The 21,214-nt window shown below is 46.3% G+C and overlaps 1 protein-coding gene across 7 annotated transcripts in view, besides 3 other annotated features; it reads left to right on the top strand.

Annotated features, from left to right (window-relative positions):
* The window catches only part of THADA (THADA armadillo repeat containing), a 365,188-nt gene that overhangs the window by 289,868 nt on the left and 54,106 nt on the right, over positions 1-21,214 (top strand). For all 7 annotated transcript variants that reach the window (NR_073394.2, NR_144316.2, NM_001345924.2 and 4 more), the window contains 4 exons: positions 12,958-13,337; positions 13,949-14,067; positions 14,403-14,475; positions 19,110-19,263. Coding sequence is in view for 5 of the 7 variants with exons in the window: in NM_001345924.2 (NP_001332853.1) it covers positions 12,958-13,337; positions 13,949-14,067; positions 14,403-14,475; positions 19,110-19,263 (726 nt within the window). In the remaining 2 variants the exon portion in view is untranslated. The remainder of the gene's footprint in view (positions 1-12,957; positions 13,338-13,948; positions 14,068-14,402; positions 14,476-19,109; positions 19,264-21,214) is intronic.
* Positions 8,538-9,039: an enhancer, noted in NCBI's record as "H3K27ac hESC enhancer chr2:43524271-43524772 (GRCh37/hg19 assembly coordinates)". NCBI's record gives its function as "activates a minimal SCP1, AML or CMV promoter by ChIP-STARR-seq in naive H9 embryonic stem cells {active_cell/tissue: H9 hESC(naive)}" and the evidence as "EXISTENCE:reporter gene assay evidence [ECO:0000049][PMID:30033119]".
* Positions 12,138-13,337: an enhancer, noted in NCBI's record as "BRD4-independent group 4 enhancer chr2:43519973-43521172 (GRCh37/hg19 assembly coordinates)". NCBI's record gives its function as "activates an origin of replication core promoter dependent on BRD2, P300/CBP, MED14 and CDK7 cofactors, and independent of BRD4, by STARR-seq in HCT116 cells {active_cell/tissue: HCT116}" and the evidence as "EXISTENCE:reporter gene assay evidence [ECO:0000049][PMID:35650434]".
* Positions 12,567-12,861: a silencer, noted in NCBI's record as "tiled region #10532; K562 Repressive non-DNase unmatched - State 6:EnhF". NCBI's record gives its function as "represses a minimal TATA promoter and a strong SV40 promoter by Sharpr-MPRA in K562 cells {active_cell/tissue: K562}" and the evidence as "EXISTENCE:reporter gene assay evidence [ECO:0000049][PMID:27701403]".

Below are 21,214 nucleotides of genomic sequence, written 5' to 3'. Positions count from 1 at the left end.
GGCATGGGGGCTCGTGCCTGTAGTCACAGCTCCCTGGGACTGAGGCTGAGTTGGGAGAATCACCTCCCAGACTCATTTCCATTGCTTCCTGAGCCCGGGAAGGCTGCAGTGAGCTGCGATCATACCACTGCACTCCGGCGTGGTAACAAGAGTAAGACCCTGTCTCAAAAAAAGAAAGACAGAGAGAGAGAGAGAGAGAAGGGAGGGAGGGAGGGAGGGAAGAAGGGAGGGAGGGATGGACAGGAAAGGAAAGGAAAGGGGAAAGGAGAAAGAAAAGGGGAAAGGAAACCAGAAGTAGTGTATGCTTAGAAATAACTATGTTTGTGTCTTTGGGTTGTCATGTGTTTATCCACAGTAGTTCTGGACTTCCTCCCTGTGTTGGGCAAAGGCTGAGATGGGATGGTGGGTGGAGGCAATAGTAAAAGCTGTGGGTCCCACCCAGGGCCTGGTGAGCTCATCTTTAGCCTACCCAGATCCTTTGAGCTCTTCTGGCTCTGCTGTCTCCCAGGCCAGAGGGGCTGTGTTTTGATTTTATGGGCTGCCAGGATAGTCTTTAGAGTATCCTCAGAAGCACATCCTCCTTCCTCAGCAGCCGATCGGGAATCCTACACTTGAAAAATACATGCCTTTGAGAGTATGCTGGGACAAGGAAAAGTAGGAATGTTTTCCAAGGGGTGTGTGTGATGGGGGCCACACCTGTGTAAGCAGAGATGATGGGGTTCAGAGAACCAGAAACAAACCAAGGCAAGAAATAAACAACCAGTACTAGTTCAGGGTGAGACAAAGTTAGTTTCCAAATCCCTCCACCAGGTCATTCAACATGTTTGTAACTGGAGGGGCCCCTGGGGTCAGGATTACAGTTTACTGGGAGGGTCAAGGATTAAATAGAAGAGTGGAATTTCCCTTTGATAAGGAGAAGCCAAGATTTATTAAGTCAGTTTATTCTGTTGTTATTGTTGTTGTTGTTCCTATGGTTTCCTTTTCTCTACAAATATAATTTTTTTAACGGAGAAATTGCATAACAGGACATTGACGTTAAGAGTGTACAAATTATCATCTGTGATTATTTTTAGAACCAGTTTATCCACCATTTCAGATAAAAACTTTTGTTGGATCTGATTACAGAGCTCTGACCAATGCTACAATTCTTTAAAATAGAAAAAGCAGGCTGTCTCCCTATGCATTGAAAGTGAAGTCTAGGCCGGGCACAGTGGCTCATGCCTGTAATCCCAGCACTTTGGGAGGCCGAGGTGGGTGGATCACCTGAGGTCAGGAGTTCAAGACCAGCCTGGCCAACATGGCAAAACCCTGTCTCTACTAAAAATACAAAAATTAGCCAGGCTTGATGGCTGGCGCCTGTAATCCCAGCTACTCGGGAGGCTGAGGCAGCAGAACCACTTGAACCCGAAAGGCGGAGGTTGCGGTGAGCCGAGATTGCACCACTGCACTCCAGCCTGGGCAACAGAGTGAGACTCCATCACAAAAAAAAAAAAAAAATGAAGTCTGCTCTGTATTTTTTCGTCTCCTACTTTTTTAAGGAGGTTGGAGATACTGGGAGAGAAAGGGGAGAATAGAGAAAACTTTAGAACAGTTATGTCTGCAAAGGAGAAATTCACTTATTTGTTCATTCATTCCTTTGAGGCAGAGGGAAGAACATGTGCAAGTGCAGACAGAATGAGGAGCCTTCTGAGACTCAGATGACCTTCCACGGTGGCACGACCAGTATCACTGCCATTTGCACTTATAAGTGACATTTTGTAGTAGTGAAACCATTTTTTTGTTGTTGTTGGGTTGGTCTTTTCAGTCCTGAGGAGGATCCTTCTGCCTTCATGGATACTGACTGCTGCTTCTAAATAGAACAAGTTGTGTGTGATTACCGGGGCTTTGCCTCCCCCATAGTCATCTTTGCTGGGACCGAGAAAATGTTGTCACTCTGGGCCTTGCATTTTTTCTTTCTTGCCCTTTTTATTTTGGCACAAGACAATCAGGCTGTCTTGATGAGTGACGTAAGAGTGAAGGCCAGGAACTGTATAATATGCAGGAGCTCTCTGAGCACTAGATGAAGGGGTTGACTTATGATGAAGGGCCATGGTGTACAAAAACAAATACCATTAAACACTAGAATTACACACATTCAGCATGGCAAGATGTTTACACTGTGGAAAGCATGGATGATGTCAGATGGTCTGAGGTGGAGGCCTTGAAAGTGCGGTCCCTGCCCCAGCAGCATCAGCATTACCTGGGAATTTGTTAGGAAATGTAACTTTTGGGGAGCCCTGCTCAGACTTACTGAAATTAGAAACTTGGGGTGAGCAGCTAAAGTTTGAGAACCGCCGGTCTGAGGTAACAGTACAGCAACCCTACATGGGACATTGACCACTGATTGGAATGCCAGGGGAAACTGCCCTCTCTAATTATTATTCCTCCCCCACCCCCGGCCCCACCTAAAGTTAAATTCACCTAAATTAAATGCTGTTATGATGTAACTTCACTGTATCCATAATTATGTGGTAATGATATTACCATTTTTTTTTCAGAATGCCCTTGTTAAAGCTATTTAGATTAACATGCATCTTTTAAAAATTATATTGATTTTTTTTTTAATTTAACAAACCTATATGAGTAGCTCAGAAGAGCAAAGGTGAATGGCCCACAGGCCTTCCCTTTTGGGTTATGCTTCTCCTCTAGAGAGGAGAGAGACTGCCCTAAATAATAGAACAGGACATGCTAAGTATGATGCCATCCCTGCTCAAGGTCTGTGCTACTGTTAAATCCTCTTTCAGCAGCCTGTCAAAATTAGCACTCTCCCTTGGTTAGTTAGGGAGTGGCAGTTTTGATATCTAAAGTTAACTTTCACAATGACTGTTCATGTTGCAGACATTACACTGGAATCTCCAACCTACCAAAGAACCAAACACTGCTAAGATAACACATCTGATATTACCAAAGGAATTGTGTGAATGGGCCACCATACTCCTTTATGCAAAACACTCCTCAGTGCCATGAAGGACTCTGCAAAGTTCCTTCAGTTTCTTCCTGAGAATAGAGGTTCCTAATAGTTATGCCATCCAAACAGACTAGCCTCAAGAAGCTTTTATCAACTTCTCCAAAGCTGTAATTCACTAGTGCTGCTCCCTGGTGATTTCACCAGCCCATGGCACAAGGAAGCTATAGCAAAATGATACTATAGCAAATTTGTCTTTTTTTTTTAGTTTTTTTTAGTTTCTTAGTTTTTAGTTTTTAGAGATAGGGTCTCACTATGTTGCCCAGGCTGAAGTGCAATGGCTAGTCACAGGTGTGCTTATAGCACACTGTAGCTTCAAACTCCTGGGCTCAAGCAATCCTCCTGCCTCAGCCTCCCAGCTAGCTGGAACTACAGGTGCACGCCACGATACCTGGCTACATCTTTTTCTTAAAAACAAATTTCTTTAAATTATCTTTTATGATGACACTATGATTTTTTCCCTTTTGGGGCATAAGAGACTTTCTTTCATGAAGTGATAATAGATAGTAGGTTTTTAACATCCTTTGCAAAATAAAAAGCTGGCAACTTACACCAGTCTGCCACATTGTGACATTTCATTAGGAATTACTTCTCCAGGAAACCAGGACATAGCACAGTAGGAGGTATTGTCCTTCCATGTGAATCCAGCCATTCAGCCATTCCCTTGAAGGCCAGAAATTTACTTGCTCCAAAGAGTGAAAAAAAAAAAAAAAGTTAATTCCAAAAATGAAATCAAATTGGATGCAAGAATCAGTCACACATACTTGAGTGGCTGAGTTGACTGCACTGGTGGGAAAGTACAAAGACTTTCCAAACAAGGAGGGCTGAAAAAAGCTCCAGCCAGGAAGAGTTAGAAAAAAATCACTCTAACTTAGGAAAAGTACGATGGGGCCATTAAAGCAGGGACTTGATTCTTTCACTCAAACATTTGGGCTTTCCAACAAAGAAGAAACCCAAATCTATCAAAGTTGAGGTTGCAAGTAGAAAAGGTAAGGTTTCAGATGGGTGTGGTGGCATGCACCTATAGTCCCAGGTACTCAGGAGGCAGATGTGGGAGGATCACTTGAGCCTAGGAGTTCAAGATCAGCTTGTGATAAACCATCTCTTTTCCTTTGTAAAAAAAAAAGGCAAAGAAGGTTTAAAAATTACAGTCTGCTAAAGAAGAAGGCTGCTAAACTTCAGACTGGATCAAACTTCAGTTATTTGTGTCCTGCAAACGAAGGGCACTCATAGAAATGAAAATAAGTACCACGTGTTCATCTAGACTCTTTATGGCAGGACACAAACGTTGTTGCACCAGGGAAAAATCCCGATTGTGAAAACCCTTTGACGAACTCTACCTGCAGTGGGAAACAGACTGTACCACTAAAACAGTAGCCGTCAATCCCTGCTGTACCTAGGTCACTTTAAAACTAGACTGCTAGGTTTCACCCCAGAGATGTGGTCAAGTGTCCCCTGACATGAGTATTTTTCTAAAGCTCTCAGATTAATGTAATGTGCTTTCTGGGCTGAGAACCACTGTGCAAGAGAAAAGCAGCATTTCTTTGTTAGCTGCTGCAGTAGCTTATGCTGAGGTATTGGACATTCCTGCCTCCAACCTTCTGTTCCACCTAGAGACCCTCTCACTCTGGGTACTGAGATGGAATAGGGGAATATGGTTCCTGTGGTCCCCACCCAGTTGGAGCTCCATGAGAGCAAAGCCAGGTCTAATTCACTGCTGCATCTAGACCTAGAACAGAACCTGCACACAACGAGCCAGTGTTTACATTGCTGAAGGTCTGGCCAGGTGGCTGGCCTGCCTGCCAGGAACATTCATAGTGCGTATTCGTTCTTTTGAATTCTTGGTTATTTTCTCTCCTTTGGTGTTTTTATTTGAAAGAGAAATTGGGGCATGGTGAATTTTCTAGTTCTTCACTACTGTGAAGTCCTGCGCTGGAATCATACGTGCTCTGCGTGAAACTCCAGTGCCCTACCCACCCATAAACCCTGCCAACCCGCGTGAAAGTTGGCCCTGAGGAGTGTGGTTCTCAGCTGGGGTGCAGAGCAGAATTACCTGCCAGTTCTTAAGATTACAGCTGTCTGCGCCCAACTTGAAACCAACTGAATCAGAATCTACAAGAGTGGGATTCAGGCATGTGTGGTTTTAATATCATTAGTCATTACCTTTACTTGAGGGCAGTGGTTTTTAAAATACCTGGATCAGCAGCAGCAGCTTCACCTGTGAGCTTGTTGAAAATGCAAATCATCAGCCCCATCCCAGGACCTGCAGAATCAGAAACTCTGGGGTGAGGTCGAGGCAGCAGTCCGTGGTTTCACAAGCCCTTCGGGGCATCTCCTTGAGTCCGAGTTGCTGCACAAACAGAATATTTTTTCCAAGCAGCAGTTTGGAGAAAGTGCCTAAATGAATGTCACTTGATAATTTCCTCCCTTTTGGCTCTAGGTCTAACCTCTCTTGCTGCTCCTCTGTTGACACATTAATTCAGCAAACTTATTTAAAGGTCTCTCTGTGTCTGTTCTCTCCTAACTCTCCCTGACACGTTTGCCCTTTCCTCTCCTCTCCCAGCAAGGTTCCTGTGCAGCCTCAGGGCCCACCTTAAATTGTGTTGCCTCTTGAAAGCCCTTTTTCCATTTCTTCCAGTAGAATATCAGTGCCATCGCATTCATTTTGGTCTTTCATATGGCTTTAGTGTGTATTCTCTTTACCTACCTTTTCCTTAGTGACCTTGAGCAAGTAACTTCACCTCTCTGTTTCCTCATCTGTAAAATGGGAATAATAATAATAATAGAGCCTACCTCATTAAAGAGTTAAATCTTGTCTAGGTGCTCAGAATAATATCAACAAGTGTCAATTCTAAAAGTAATTTTTGTTCTGGCACGGTGGCTCACGCCTGTAATCCCAACACTTTGGGAGGCTGAGGCAGGAGAATTGCTTGAACCCGGGAGGCGGAGGTTGCAGTGAGCCGAGATGGTGCCACTGCACTCAGCCTGGGTGACAGAGACTCTGTCTCAAAAAAATAAATAAAAGTAATTTTTATTCGTAGCATTAAATCATGGGTATGTAATATTTTGTAATTACAGAATAGTACATGACATGTAAATACTCAACAAATGTCAGCTTTTTTTTTTTTTTTTTGCCTTGAGACAGAGTTTTGCTCTTCTTGTACAGGCTGTAGTGCAGTGGCACAATCTCGGCTCACTGCTACCTCCGCGTCACAGGTTCAAGCAGTTCTCCTGCTTCAGCCTCCGGAGTAGCTGGGATTACAGGCATGCACCACCACACCTGGCTAATTTTTTGTATTTTTAGTAGAGGCGGGGTTTCGCCATGTTGGTCAGGCTGGTCTCAAGCTCCTGACCTTGGGTGATCTGCCCACCTTGGCCTCCCAAAGTGCTGGGATTACAGGCATGAGCCACTGTGCCCAGCCCAAATTTCAGCTTTTATTAGTAACAATTTTAGGACACTAAACATTTTGTGATTTTTATAGGTTTTTGTTGGTGTTGTTGTTTTTGAGACAGAGTCTCTTCTGTTGCTCAGGCTGGAGTGCAGCAGCCCTATCTTGGCTCACTGCAAACTCCGCCTCTTGGGTTCAAGCGATTCTCCTCCCTCAGCCTCCTGAGTAGCTGGGATTACAGGTGCCCACCATCACGCCCAGCTAATTTTTGTATTTTTTTTAGTAGAGACGGGGTTTCACCATGTTGGCCAGGTTGGTCTCAAACTCCTGACCTCAGGTGATCTGCCCGCCTCGGCCTCCCAAAGTGCTGGGATTACAGGCGTGAGCCACTGCGCCCGGCTAGATTTTTATAGTTATTATTGTGTACTTGTTCTTTGTCCTCCCATTGGTCTTAAAGCTCTTTGAAGCAGATCTTTTTCTTTCTCAGCTCTGCATCTCTGTATCTCCCAAAGTACCTAATGCAGTTAAGCTTCCTTTATCCAAAATGCTTGGGACCAAACATGTTTCAGATTTCAGGTTTGGGTTTTTTTTTTTTAAATATTTGCATATATAATGAGACATCTTGGGGATGGAACCCAAGTCTAAACACAGAATTCATTTATGTTTCATACATACCTTATACACATAACCGGAAGGTGATCTTATTTTTCCCTTGGGGACACTGAATAAACTGCATCTGTGTGTTGACTGCATTAGGTCAGGTGTGGAATTTTCCACTTATGGCACCATTTCAACACGTAAAAAGTTTCCGATCTTAGAGCATTTTGGATTTCAGATTTTCAGATTAGAGATGCTCAACCTGTATATGCTTAGGAAATACTTAAAGAGTTAATACTCAAGTCACAGGCAGTGTAGGTCAAGAAGTCCCAAAGGAATGTCTACCTTCATTACACTCATCAGCATGCTTGCTCCCCATCTCCTCCTTCTTTGGGGTAGTGCCTTCATTCCCTGGCTTCCTGGTGATATCATCCCTTCTTAAGGCCCCAGACCAGAAAAATGGGTCTGGGTGTCCAACTCTCAAGTCCAGCAGACTATACTTACACTCAGCCTGGACTATATCCAGAACAGCCCAGATAGTTCTTCCTGTTGTTAATTACAATTTTTTTTTTTTAATTTTTTTTTTATTGATAATTCTTGGGTGTTTCTCACAGAGGGGGATTTGGCAGGGTCATGGGACAACAGTGGAGGGAAGGTCAGCAGATAAACAAGTGAACAAAGGTCTCTGGTTTTCCTAGGCAGAGGACCCTGCGGCCTTCCGCAGTGTTTGTGTCCCTGATTACTTGAGATTAGGGAGTGGTGATGACTCTTAACGAGCATGCTGCCTTCAAGCATCTGTTTAACAAAGCACATCTTGCACCGCCCTTAATCCATTTAACCCTGAGTGGACACAGCACATGTTTCAGAGAGCACAGGGTTGGGGGTAAGGTCACAGATCAACAGGATCCCAAGGCAGAGGAATTTTTCTTAGTGCAGAACAAAATGAAAAGTCTCCCATGTCTACTTCTTTCTACACAGACACGGCAACCATCCGATTTCTCAATCTTTTCCCCACCTTTCCCGCCTTTCTATTCCACAAAGCCGCCATTGTCATCCTGGCCCGTTCTCAATGAGCTGTTGGGCACACCTCCCAGACGGGGTGGTGGCCGGGCAGAGGGGCTCCTCACTTCCCAGTAGGGGCGGCCGGGGCGGCTGGCCGGGCCGGGGGGCTGACCCCCCCCACACTCCCTCCCGGACGGGGCGGCTGGCCGGGCGGGGGGCTGACCCCCCCACCTCCCTCCCGGATGGCGGCTGGCCGGGCAGAGGGGCTCCTCACTTCCCAGTAGGGGCGGCCGGGCAGAGGCGCCCCTCACCTCCCGGACGGGGCGGCTGGCCGGGCGGGGGGGCTGATCCCCCCCCACCTCCCTCCCGGACGGGGCGGCTGGCCGGGCGGGGGGCCGACCCCCCCACCTCCCTCCCGGACGGGGCGGCTGGCCGGGCGGGGGGCCGACCCCCCCACCTCCCTCCCGGACGGGGTGGCTGGCCGGGCTGAGGGGCTCCTCACTTCCCAGTAGGGGTGGCTGGGCAGAGGCGCCCCTCACCTCCCGGACGGGGGGGCTGGCCGGGCGGGGGGCTGACCCCCCCACCTCCCTCCCGGACGGCACGGCTGGCCAGGCGGGGGGCTGACCCCCCCACCTCCCTCCCGGACGGCACGGCTGGCCGGGCGGGGGGGCTGACCGCCCACCTCCCTCCCGGATGGGGCGGCTGGCCGGGCGGGGGGCTGACCCCCCCCCACCTCCCTCCCGGACGGGGTGGCTGCCGGGCGGAGACGCTCCTCACTTCCCAGATGGGGTGGCTGCCGGGCAGAGAGGCTCCTCACTTCTCAGACGGGGCAGCTGCCGGGCGGAGGGGCTCCTCACTTCTCAGACGGGGTGGTTGCCAGGCAGAGGGTCTCCTCACTTCTCAGACGGGGTGGCCGGGCAGAGACGCTCCTCACCTCCCAGACGGGGTCTCGGCCGGGCAGAGGCGCTCCTCACATCCCAGATGGGGCGGCGGGGCAGAGGCGCTCCCCACATCTCAGACGATGGGCGGCCGGGCAGAGACGCTCCTCACTTCCTAGATGTGATGGCGGCTGGGAAGAGGCGCTCCTCACTTCCTAGATGGGATGGCGGCCGGGCGGAGACGCTCCTCACTTTCCAGACTGGGCAGCCAGGCAGAGGGGCTCCTCACATCCCAGACGATGGGCGGCCAGGCAGAGACACTCCTCACTTCCCAGACGGGGTGGCGGCCGGGCAGAGGCTGCAATCTCGGCACTTTGGGAGGCCAAGGCAGGCGGCTGCTCCTTGCCCTCGGGCCCCGCGGGGCCCGTCCGCTCCTCCAGCCGCTGCCTCCCGGGCGGCCGTTAATTACAATTTTAAGAGCAGATTTCTGAGCCATATTTCTGACTGTGCCAAATAAATGAAATTCCTTTTGAATGTAATGCTGTCCTCTAGCAGCAGTGGGTAGGAAGGATAGGGAAATGGTACCTGGAGATGATAGTACTGTGCTCTTATTATTATTAGATTGTTATGAGATTCGGTTTTTAGACATTGAAACAGAGATGACACAGAGGTTGAAGATCCCAGCTGCCCAGGGTTTCCCCCACTGCTTTATAAAGATACTGCCTGGCTGGGCTCAGTGGCTCCCACCTGTAATCCCAGCACTTTGGGAGGCCGAGGCGGGCAGATCACCTGAGGTCAGGAGTTTGAGACCAGCCTGGGCAACATGGTGAAACCCTGTCTCTACTAAAAATACAAAAATTAGCTGGGTGTGGTGGCGTGTGCCTGTATTTCCAGCTACTCTGGAGGCTGAGACAGGAGAATTACTTGTACCGGGGAGGCGAAGGTTGCAGTGAGCCAATATTGTGCCACTGCACTCCAGCCTGGGTGACCGAGGGAGATTCTGTCTCCAAAAAAATAAAAAAATAAAAAGATGCCTCCTGGTGAGCTGGGAATTCTGCAGTGTCTGAGTTAAGAGTAGCGGTATGGCCGGGCACGGTGGCTCACGCTGTAATCCCAGCACTTTGGGAGGCTGAGGCGAGCAGATCACGAGGTCAGGAGTTCGAAACCAGCCTGTCCAGCATGGCAAAACCCTGTCTCTACTAAATATACAAAAATTAGCCAGGCGTGGTGGCATGCTCCTGTAATCCCAGCTACTCAGGAGGCTGAGGCAGGAGAATCACTTGAACCCTGGAGGTGGAGGTTGCAGTGAGCCGAGATCGCACCACTGCACTCCTGCCTGGGCGACAGAGCGAGACTCCATCTCAAAAAAAAAAAAAAAAAAACAGTAGAGGTTTGTCTGCAGCCCCAGATGGTGGCCTCCCTGGGGTCCCATCATGTTGGAGCCCAAGTCCAGTCCCCATTTTGCCCCCTGTGACAGACTTTGAAACAATTTGATGTGTTACATAAATACTCTATATTTTTAAATCTCGAATTATTGCAAGTCTATGCAAATTTTCAATTTCAAATAAATTTTTCTGTTACCTGAATGTTTTACATATGCATTATGTTTATGTTAGTTTTCTAGAAGTCAGCAGAGTTCTCTGAGTTATAATGAGATGATAAATATAAACGGTGTTTTATTAGCTATAAATGCGTATCACTTAAATGCTGTCTGGTAAGCCAATCCAGGATAAACTTGTTAACATCTTGGGTACAGTTGTCAGGATTTATCAGAGAATGCTATGAATATAATATCTAAATTTTGGCAAGGCATTTGGTGAAGTCTGTCATAAGTTCTTGTAGATAAAACTTCATGGACAGAATGATACAATTAAGAGGATTCATAAGTGGGGGATGACTCAAACCGAAGAGGGCTAGTTAATGAATTAGTGAGAGCCTGGAAGAGCGTTTGAGGCAAGGGCCAGCAGGGAGCCTGCTCACCAAAGGCCTCCACCCTCCAGCTTGCCCACATTTTTAGTAATTATTTGATTTTGGGCATTTAGGCATTCCTGTGAAATTGAAGTTTGCCAACTACTTTGTATGCGTTTTTGAGATAGGGTCTCACTTTGTCGCCCAGGCTGGAATGCAGTGTCAGCATCCTGGCTCACTGCATCCTCAACCTCCTGGGCTCAAGTGATCCCCCACCCAGCTGACTTTTTATTTTTTGTAGAAATAGATTTTCACAGTGTTGTCCAGGCTGGTCTCAAACTCCTGGGCTCAAGCAGTCCTCCCACCTTGGGCTCCCAAAATGTTGGGATTACAGGCATGAGCCACCACGCCCAGCTGGTTTACCCAATTTCTATTAGATGATGAACATGTGTGAAGAACTGGGTGCTGGGAGGTACCCGAGACTCCTACCCTAGTCCGCACCCTCATTCCCTAGTCCTGCCAGTTTTATCCCTTCAGTGTTTTTTTTTCTTTCTTTTTTGCCTTTTTAAATGATCACCTTGGCTTCAGACCTTCAGCGTTTCTTAAACCCACCTTCTCCTGATTCCTTCTGAACTTAAGGCCCTCGTCATTTATTTCTCTCCTGGACTACGGTGCAGTAGTGTTGTAACTGGTCTCCCTGCCTCTAATATTGCCTCCTCAACGATAAGAGCACTTCAGTGAAAATGGGCCCCTGACCTTACTGCTTAAAATAACCCCCCAGTGGCATTCCGTTGCATACAGAACTAGCTGCTTCACATTGTCTAGGAGGCTTTCTGTACTCTAGCCACATTTCTTCCCTAGCCTCATCTCCTGCCCTTTCCCACCTCAAATTTTATGCTCCAGTGTTATGGGATGGCCTGTAGTTCCCCACATGGTCCGTTCTGTTTCATGCCTTTGTTGAGCCTTTGCTCAGCTGGTTCCCCTGCCTTTGGTGGTGCTAACACATTGTCACCTGTCTTCCTCTTTGAGGCCTAGGTTATCATTTGTACCACTATATTGGAATTATGTGTTCATGCATTTCTCTTTCTCAAACTAGACTGACTATAAACTCCTTAAGGGCAGTGATCTTATTTAGCTCCTAGCACATAGTAAGCAGGCAATAAGTTTTTGGTTTTTTTATTTTTTTAATCAGAACTGAGAATATGAAAAGATCTCGGCAAATGAAAGGTAGACCATAAAACTTAACAGGAGGATAAAATTTAACAGGGATATACTTGGGCTTAAAATAAACAAAGAAAACACATCTTGGCTTAAGTACTGAGTACAAAGTGGGAGAAAGATGACTCACCACCATCAGTAGACCACGTCAAAAAAGAAGGGCTGTGGTTTCAGTTGACTTTGTGCTCCATATGAGTCAACAGTGTGATGCAACTCCAGTTCAGAACAGAGAAAGTAATAGTCCTGCGGGTCAAACCATGCAGGAGATTTGTGATCCAGCCTATTGGCCATCCTTTAAGAGAGGGTGAGGCATGTCCACAGGAAAGCAGCTAGAATAATGAGAGACAGTGACCCCATCATTTGAGGAAGGAAGTAGGAATGTTTCATCTGGAGAAGACAGAGGGGACACAAGAATTGTAATCAAATGTCTAAAGAGCTGTCATTGGGAGCCTCAAAATGTAGCATTAGGCCAGTGAGTAGAAACACAAAAAGAACTTTTTGACAATTAGATCTACTAACAATGGAATAAGCTGTCTCATGAGCTCCAGGGTACTGTAGGGTTCAACCAAGAGCTTCTGGGAAAGGGTGTTACAGAGGGGAGCTTCACCCCTGAAGGAAGTTTATACTAGATGTCCTCTTCTCATGGTCAGCTTTGAGGCTCGGTGATAAGAGGTCACTGAGTTCGTATTTATTGAATGTTGAGGAGGGGTGCCAGGAACGCATTTTCTAATAGTAATGCCTTTGTGCCCCTGTTGGAAAAATTATACATTACCTAAATGGAAATTGTTGTGGACTAGAAGTCTGAACCTTAGAGGGCCACTCACTTATGACAGTGTTTGAAATCTGCTTATGGGAGACATCTGATGGCCTCACGCAGTGGATTCAGTCTTCATTCTTTCATGTCCTTTTGTGGAAATTTAAAGTGATTATCTCTTTCCCTTTTGCTTTTTTTGCTTCTTAGTTCTGGAGAGTCTTGGCTTCTGGGAGGAAGTCAGAGGGATTATCTCAGGATCAGAGCTGATAACGGGATTCCCTTGGGCCTTCAAGGTGCCAGGCCTGCCCCAGTACCTCCAGAGCCTCACCAGACTAGCCATTGCTGCAGTGTGGGCCGCGGCAGCCAAGAGTGGAGAGCGGGAGACGAATGTCCCCATCTCTTTCTCTCAGCTGTTAGAATCTGCCTTCCCTGAAGTGCGCTCACTAACACTGGAAGCCCTCTTGGAAAAGTTCTTAGCAGCAGCCTCTGGACTTGGAGAGAAGGGCGTGCCACCCTTGCTGTGCAACATGGGAGAGAAGTTCTTATTGTTGGCCATGAAGGAAAATCACCCAGAATGCTTCTGCAAGGTAAAGTCTCCAACGTACTGACTGGCCCTTTACACTCCCCACATTCTTTTGTGAGCCACTGGAATGGTAGGATCATGAAGGCAAGATTGGGTTTAGGCTCTCCAGGGGCAATAGGAAGTAGATTCGGCAGCCAGTGGATAAGGACTCTCTTTTTATGGTGGTTGGCATGGCGTCATACCTGGTAGGGCACCAAGAAAAGCTTTTGATGATAGGAGTATTGATGGCAGAGATTAACCAAAGACAGAGCAAACCACTTTGGGATGTTTAGGAAACAGATCATTAAAAATTCACTGTAGAGTGTGTCAGAGGTAGTCTTTGCTGACATGGCTATTTCAGGGCAGTTGGCCACCTGGGAAGCATAATCAAAAGGAAAGGGCACTGGCCTAAAATCAGGGCATCTGGCTCCCATCCCAAGTCACTAGAGGCCCTCTGGTTAGTCATTGCATCACTCTGCCTCAGTCTCCCAAAGGTATTATGGGGGAAATAAGAAGTCAGTGGGAGCCTTTTGAAAGGTAGACCTCTTGTTGATACAATTGATTATCATGTAACATCTAGAGACATCTCCCTGAGTATTTATTTCTCTTTTTTGTGTGCGGATTTGGCTTACACAGATACTGAAAATTCTCCACTGCATGGACCCTGGTGAGTGGCTTCCCCAGACGGAGCACTGTGTCCATCTGACCCCAAAGGAGTTCTTGATCTGGACGATGGATATTGCTTCCAATGAAAGGTTTGCCCCCAAAACCTCCTGTGCAACCTTGGTAAGATGTATGGTCCCATCAGTCATTATGTAATGAACTTGCACACAATCCTGCCCTCAGGTCTCAGGTCCTGTATTTCATTCTAAACCTCAGCCTAAGAGTTCTAAACTCAAGCAATAGAATGATGTCAGTGATTTGCATTAATAACCAAAAGGTAATTGCTTCCGGAGGCATTTTTGTAACCAGGAGGTAGAGATTTTCAGTATTCACCTCTGCATGGATTACAGACTATCTGCAAAAACCGGTGTATGAAATATGTCTGATTGTAATTTTGTGTTGTTTTTTTGTTTGTTTATTTTTCTAGATCTGAAATTCAGAGTGTAGCTCTGAGACTTGCTTCCAAAGTCATTTCCCACCACATGCAGACATGTGTGGAGGTAAGGCTGGTTCTGATCTTGTTCCGGGACCTAGGATTTTTTGTTCTCATTTACTCAGAAGATGTCAGTAAAAGTGAACAGTCTTAGCAGGCAGAACCCCTGTGATATGTGTATGTAACATCTACAGAAATATTGTTCGTGCTGGTTTTTCAATTCGAGTATAACTTCAAAAGACTTCTTTGGACACCACCTTTCTTTTCTCTTGTTTTAGGATTTTTTTTTTTTTTTTTTTTTTTTTTTTGAGATGGAGTTTTGCTCTTGTTGCCCAGGCTGGAGTGCAGTGGCACGATCTCGGCTCACTGCTACCTTTGCCTCCCAGGTTCAAGCGATTCTTCTCCAGCCTCAGCCTCCTGAGTAGCTGGGATTACAGGCTTGTGCCAGCACGCCCGGCTAATTTTTTGTATTTTTAGTAGAGGCGGGGTTTCACCATGTTGTCCAGGCTGGTCTCGAACTCCTGACCTCAGGTGATCCACCCGCCTCGGCCTCCCAAAGTGCTGAGATTACAGATGTGGGCCACTGCGCCCAGCCTGTTTTAGGCATTTTTTTAATTAGAGTTCAAAGGGATAACAGAACCTTCCCCCCAAAACACATATGCCCAAACCCCTTGTTTTTTCCCCATTTCTCTAGCTGGACTCTTTATTTAAAGAGGAGTAAGCATGTCAATTCCAAAAGTATTTAGGATTGCAACCTAGTGAACTAAGTATGCAAATACATCGCTAAGGCTTAAATATTCCCCCAGAACATGGCCCAGCTGGCTCTGGATGGAGGCCCAGATGCGCCCCACCTGTTTTACATGTCCTTTGGTAGTGAAATAGAACCGAAGTAAGAAAAACAGCTTCCTGGGAAGATGTCTTAAGACAAATACATGCTACTTAGGTGCATACAAGATAGCACCCTCACAGAATCACAAGTAGAAGGCAGCCAATACCACAGGAAAATTACCTGAAGATCCAGATTCCACACAGCCACACTGATGGTGGTGGCATAACATTGTGGACCCTGAGCCCTTACAATAAACCTAGCACTGCTGTGTAGGTACTGAAGATACAGAGATGAACAGAGACTAGAGCTATAGTCTAATGAGAGAAAGTTAGATAATTACATTAAATGCTCTAGTAACAAGGTGTGCCAGGGCCGTGGGAACCCAGAGGAGGGAGTGAGAGTTCAGAGGCTGAAGAAGACTTCATAGAGGAGATCATGAAGTTCAGAGAGCATGAGGCTGGGCAGAGATAAAACCAAGGGTAAGAATTAACAAGCAGGTCCAATTTCCTTAGATCTGTCACTCAAAGGCAAGCCAGGGAGCCAAACGTAGGAGGTCACTAGGAGCTAAAAAAGCCCCCAGAAAAGTCAGGTGGGGTGGAGGGAGTATAGGAATGGAGATGATTTGCTAAAAACTATAGCCCAGGAAGGGGAAAAAAAAAAACGGCCAGACATGGTGGTTCACACCTGTAATCCCAGCACTTTAGGAGGTCAAGGCAGGCAGATCACCTAAGGTCAGGAATTTGAGACTAGCCTGACCAACAGTGAAACTCCATCTCTACCAAGAAATACAAAAATTAGACGGGTGTGGTGGTGGGCGCCTGTAATCCCAGCTACTCGGGAGGCTGAGGCAGAATTGCTTGAACCCAGGAGGCAGAGATTGCAGTGATCTGAGATCATGCCACTGCACTCCAGCCTGAGCAACAGAGCAAGACCCTGTCTCAAAAAAAAAAAAAAAAACAAAAACAAAAAAAAAACACCAGGGCCGGGCACGGTAGCTCACACCTGTAATCCTAGCACTTTGGGAGGCTGAGGCGGGCGGATCACCTTGAGGTCAGGAGTTTGAGACCAACCTGGCCAACATGGCAAAACCCCAGCTCTACTAAAAATTATAAAAATTAGCCAGATGTGGTGGTATGCGCCCGTAATCCCAGCTGCTCAGGAAGCTGAGGCAGGAGGATCGCTTGAACCCAGGAGGTGGAGGCTGCAGTGAGCCGAGATTGTCTCACTGTACTCCAGCCTGGGCAACAGAGCAAGACTCCATCTCAAAAAAAGCAAACAAACAAACAAACAAAAAAACACCAAGTTCTAAGAAGTCACCAGGCAGCCTAACAAGCCTGCCAAGGCATTATTCTTATCTAAAGCTGTTTTTAACCAGTTGTTATGTCCACTACATGAATAAAGTGATATTTAATGAAAATTGGGAGTTTTCCAGGGAGAAAAAAATTAACAGAACTGGAGAGAAATAAATAAAAGACGCTCCTGGGGAAACATGAGTTTCTTGGTGCGTTGGGAATTAGCATCTTCCTCAAGGTCTAAAATACTCATCATGTTAGTTGCGTAGATGCCCATAGATGATCAAAGGAATCATTAGTTACATTTTGAACATTTAAAGAGGTTCAGTTGATAGAAGTAAAGTACATCTGGAACAACAGTCCCTGTTCTAGAAAAAGTGAAAGAACGGAGTTTAAATGATGAAAACAATCCAGATGTTTATCAACTGATGAATGAGTAAGCAAAATGTAATGTATCCATACAATGGAATATTATTTGGCCACAAAATTGAGTGAAGTACAGATACATCCTACGGCATGGGTGAACCTTGAAAACATTATGCTAAGTAAAAGAACCTAGTCATAAAAGACTACATATTATCTGATTCCATTTATAGGAAATTTCCACTTAAAGGAAATGTCCAGAATTGGCAAACTGATAGAGACAGAAAGTAGATTAGTGCTTAGTCAGGGCTGGGGAGATGGGAGGATAGGGAAGTGATAGATAAAGGGTGCAGAGTTTCTCTTTGTGATGATGAAAATGTTCTGAAATTGACCGTGGTGGTGATTGCACATATCTGTGAATATACCAGAGTTCACTGCATTGGCCACTTTAAATGAGTGAATTCTATGGTATGTAAACTGTATCTCAGTAAAACTGTTACTATTAAAAACAAGGAGCTGAAGGTTGAGTTGATCACCGATGTCCAATGATTTAAATCAATCATGCTGTTGCAATGAAGCTTCCTTAAAAACCCTGAAGAATGAAAAGTTCAGAGAGCTTCTGGGTGGTGAACAAGATGTACTCATGTGCCAGGAGAGTGGCACACCCCAAAGCTCCATAGGGAGAGGAAGTCCTGTGCTTGGGATCCTTCTGGACCTCTCCCTGTGTATCTGTCTTTTCATCTGTCTCTTCATCTAGATTCTCATCTTTGTAATAAACTGAGAATCTAGTTTTCTAAAAAATAAAAACAACACTGCTTTGTTTAAACAATAGTGTTAGATGCTGCTTTATTTATTTATTTAGAGATGGAGTCTCATTCTGTCTCCCAGGCTGGAGTGCAGTGGCATGATCTTGGCTCACTGCAGCCTCCGCCCCCTGGCTTCAAGCAGTTCCCATGCCTCAGCCTCCTGAGTAGCTGGGATTACAGGCACGCGCCACCATGTCCAGCTAATTTTTGTGTATTAGTAGAGACAGGGTTTCACCATGTTGGCCTGGCTGGTCCTGAACGCCTGACCTCAGGTGATCCACCTGCCTTGGCCTCCCAAAGTGCTGGGATTATAGCCGTGAGCCACTGTGCCCGGCCTGTGATTCTGTTTTAAATGTTGTAATAGAAACATAAATACTGTGGCTTAAATCAGATAGAAACAGTCCAAAGCCAATGTATCTTGACAGTGTTGAGTCACCAGGTTCTCATACTTTGTTGTTCTGCTGTCCTAAACACATAGTTTCTATCTTAGGGTCCCACCTGTTTGCTCCAGCTTCCACCATCTTGTCCTTGTTTAGCCAGCAGGAAGGGGAAACCCAAGAAATAAAGATCATGGGCATTTCCTAAGGCATGACTTGAAAGTGCACAGATACTACTTCTAGTGTCATCCCAGTCTTCAGAACTTAATCACCTGTTACTCCCAAAAGCAAGAGAGACTGGGACATGTAGTCTCTAGCTGGGTGCCCATGGGCCCAGCCAAGAATCTGGGGTTCTTTTACTATAGGAGGGGCATCTGGTTATTGGTGACAATAAGTTGTTATTTGCTGGACAGTCTTTCCCCACAAGTTTGGTCTTTACCAGACCAAATGTATGCCAGTGTTCTCATAACCTGATTTGCATCCAAAAAGACTAAAGGAAGGCCGGGAGCAGTGGCTCATGTCTGTAATGCCAGCACTTTGGGAGGCCGAGGCAAGTTGATCACTTGAGGCCAGGAGTTTGAGACCAGCCTGACCAACATGGCGAAACCCTGTCTAATTTTGCTAAATACAAAAATTAGCCAGGTGTGGTGGCACACACCTGTACTTTCAGCTACTCGGAAGGCTGAAGCAAGAGAATCACTTTAACCCAGGAGGCAGAGGTTGCAGTGAGCCAAGATCGCACCATTGCACTCCAGCCTGGGCAACAGAGCAAGACCTTGCCTCAAACCAAAAAAAAAGACTAAAGGAACTTGTTGTCTAGTCATAGTGACTCCATCTTACCGAAAGACAAGTCAGATTTTCTTCCTTGGGCATATTTCTCTCTAGTTGGAATCGAAAAGCAACTAAAAAACAACTTTCTTCCCATTGAGCTAAGAGCTAATCTACAGGCCCAGTTTGGTGTAGGTCACCCCTAATTCTGTGTCAGCCCTTGTTGCATCTTCTGAACTACTGATAGGTACATTTTGTGCTTTTAGAACAGGGAATTGATAGCTGCTGAGCTGAAGCAGTGGGTTCAGCTGGTCATCTTGTCATGTGAAGACCATCTTCCTACAGAGTCTAGGCTGGCCGTCGTTGAAGTCCTCACCAGTACTACACCACTTTTCCTCACCAACCCCCATCCTATTCTTGGTAAGTGCGCCGAGACGGAAGTCTGTTGTACCAAACTCACTTAAAATATGAATAGATATTCTTGCCTAAAAAAAGGGAAGGTGAAAGATGGCAACATGACACCTGCCTTTATGTCTTTCAGTTATATTCCTACCGTCTTAGTTCATGCTCTAATCATTTTCACGAACACACTCTTTTTTTTTGAGACGGAGTTTCACTCTTGTCACCCAGGCTGGAGTGCAGTGGTACGATCTCGGCTTAGTGCAACCTCCACCTCCTGGTTTCAAGCAATCCTCCTGCCTCAGTCTCCTGAGTAGCCATCACCAAACCCAGCTAATTTTTGTATTTTTAGTAGAGATGAGTTTTCACCATATTGGCCAGGCTGGTCTCGAACTCTTGACCTCAGGTGATCCACCCACCTCAGCCTCCCAAAGTACTGGGATTACAGGTGTGAGCCACCACTCCCAGACCACCAACACACTCTTAACCAGCCTCTTGTTTTTCAGCCTTACCCCTAAACTTTTTTCTACAAAGAGCCTCTTTATGAAATGCAAGTCTGATAATTTCAGTCCACTATTTAAAACCTTTGAGTGGGTTCCCACTGCTTTCAGTATAAAGCCTAAACACCCTTTAGCACGGCTCATAAGGCCCTTCCTTTTCTGTCCCCTAGCCCACTCCTCCTGCCTTATCATCCACCACTCCCTAACACGGGCCCTATGTGTCATCAGTAGGGAACAGTTCTCTAAATTAAACAAACCACTGCTTGACTGACTTCTATTTGTCTTTCAAAACAGCCTAACTGTCCCCTCTTCTGGGAGGCCTATTGCAATAATCTAGGTGAGAAATGAATGGATGAGTGTGAAGCTGTGGCAGCAAGGAAGAGAGAACAGGCTCAAAAGATTTAGGAAGTAGAATCAACAGGACTTGGTGGTATTGAGGTTGATATAGAGGAAAATTCAAGAATGACTTCTAGGCTTCTGGCTAAAGTGACTGGATAGGCTGCTGGTTGCATTCAGTGATTTTTAAGTTGAAGGTATCTGTATTAGTCTGTTCTCACACTGCTATAAAGAACTACCTGAGCCAGGCACAGTGGCTCACGTCTGTAATCCCAGCACATTAGGAGGCTGAGGCGGGTGGATCACCTAAGGTCGGGAGTTCGAGACCAGCCTGACCAACATGGAGAAACCCTGTCTCTACTAAAAATACAAAAATTAGCCAGGCTTGGTGGCACATGCCTGTAATCCCAGCTATTCAGGAGAATTGCTTGAACCCGGGAGGCAGAGGTTACGGTGAGCCGAGATCACGCCATTGCACTCCAGTCTGGGCAAGGAGCAAAACTCCATCTCAAAAAAAAAAAAAAACTACCTGAGACTGGGTAATTTATGAAGAAAAGAGGTTTAATTGACTCACAGTTCCATAGTCTTAACAGGAAGCATGGCTGGGAGGCCTCAGGAAACTTAACAATTATGGCAGAAGGTAAAGGGGAAGCAAACACCTTCTTCACATGGTGGCAGGAGAGAGAGAGAGCAGGAAGAAGTGCCACACACTTTAAAACCATCAGATCTCATAAGAACTCACTCACTGTCATGAGAATAGCAAGGGGGAAATCTGCCTACATGATCCAATCACCTCCCACCAGGCCCCGCCTCCAATTCAACATGAGATTTGGGTGGGGACACAAGTCCAGATCATATCATTTTGCCCCAGGCCCCTCCTGAATCTCATGTCCTTCTCACATTGCAAAATACAATTATCCCTTCTCAACAGTCCTCCAGGTTCAGCTCATTTCAGCATCAGCTCAAAAGTCCACAGTCCAAAGTCTTATCTGAGCCAGGGTAACTCCCTTCCACCCATGAGCCTGTAAAATCAAAAACAAGTTAGCTACTTCCAAGATACAATGGGGGTACAGGTGGTGGGTAAATGCTCCCATTCCAAATGGGAGAGATTGGCCAAAGCAAAGGGTCTACGGGCC

This window comes from Homo sapiens, chromosome 2 (genome assembly GCF_000001405.40).
Source record: "Homo sapiens chromosome 2, GRCh38.p14 Primary Assembly".
In the NCBI taxonomy this organism is placed as follows: domain Eukaryota; kingdom Metazoa; phylum Chordata; class Mammalia; order Primates; family Hominidae; genus Homo; species Homo sapiens.
The sequence above is the reverse complement of the archived record's forward strand: the minus strand, read 5'-3'. Positions and strand labels throughout refer to the sequence as shown.